The following is a 1,162-nucleotide window of genomic DNA, read 5'->3' as shown; positions in this document are numbered from 1 at the left end:
AAGATATTACATGGCATCTCCTCCTGAGACTTTTAACTCCTCAGGAAAAAACAAATGTCACAAAAATGTTGCCAGTCTCATAATAGTGGCAATCCAGTAGGGCTAACTAACTCTCAGCTCCAAATGATTTCTCTCTTCTACTAACATAAAGGCTTTCTAATGCCTATATTTAATAATGTACCTACTATACATTAATACAAAGTTTTAATCTTAAAGCAAATATTAAAAATCAGGTATACGGCAAATAAAAATGGATCTAGTAGTGTTTCTGTGGTATTAGCTGTTGACATGTAATTAAGCTAACTCTACCTAAGCGTTGTTATTATTATGTTTTAGTATCTCTAGACTTTAAATTACCTGACATGGTGTATGCCAATGTGCTATTAAAATAAATTCTATTTTTCATTCTATTGTTTCTGTTATACTTAAAATTGTCATCTTTTTCTGAATACTTTAATGGTAACCATGGAGAGCTTCTAACCTTTATGTCTCTGAGTATAGATGTTAATGCAAATGGGTTCAGCAGATTTGATTCTGTTTTTTTGTTGTTTAGAGCTTACTGAAAGCTATGAATATTTAGTAAAACTGACCATTTCAAAGGGAATCCAACAGAGACTGAATTAGAGACAATCTTCTACTTATTGTGCAGGTGGTCGTTAGTTATCACAGCTTTGATTTTCAGTTGGTTTTGATGAGCTGGTATTTTCACAACAATAGAGGGCTCACTTTCAAGTATTTACATTAATTTCTTATGAAAAAGAAATAATGACCATCTAAATGACTTGGCTTCTCTGATGATGACAACAGAGAAAGGTGAGAAAATTAACTAAGCATACTTTCTAATTATTAAAAAAAGTTTCTTTTTACCTTTGACTTAAAAAACTTCAGAATAAAAATTTATTTTCTAAATCAGAACTATTTGTTAGGGGGGGCCCAAGAAAGGGGTAGTTCAGTCATTGAGAAAATCAGGATAAAATATATAAATCTCTGAAACATGAATGAAAGCAGAAATGCTGAAGCATTCTGTTTGATGAGTTGTTTTTATTTACCTTAAATTTACTAAAGGTTATATTATCTATACATACAGATTTGCATTCCATAAGTTATCTGGCTTTTGCTCCAGAAGGCATGACATTCTGTCCTCCAAACCATTACGTGCATA

At 31.6% G+C, this 1,162-nt stretch overlaps 1 annotated feature.

Moving 5' to 3' along the window:
* Positions 313-946: an enhancer, noted in NCBI's record as "OCT4-NANOG hESC enhancer chr8:78842304-78842937 (GRCh37/hg19 assembly coordinates)". NCBI's record gives its function as "activates a minimal SCP1, AML or CMV promoter by ChIP-STARR-seq in naive H9 embryonic stem cells {active_cell/tissue: H9 hESC(naive)}" and the evidence as "EXISTENCE:reporter gene assay evidence [ECO:0000049][PMID:30033119]".

This window comes from Homo sapiens, chromosome 8 (genome assembly GCF_000001405.40).
Source record: "Homo sapiens chromosome 8, GRCh38.p14 Primary Assembly".
Taxonomy (NCBI): Eukaryota; Metazoa; Chordata; class Mammalia; order Primates; family Hominidae; genus Homo; species Homo sapiens.
This window is presented reverse-complemented; position numbering and strand designations above follow the sequence as displayed.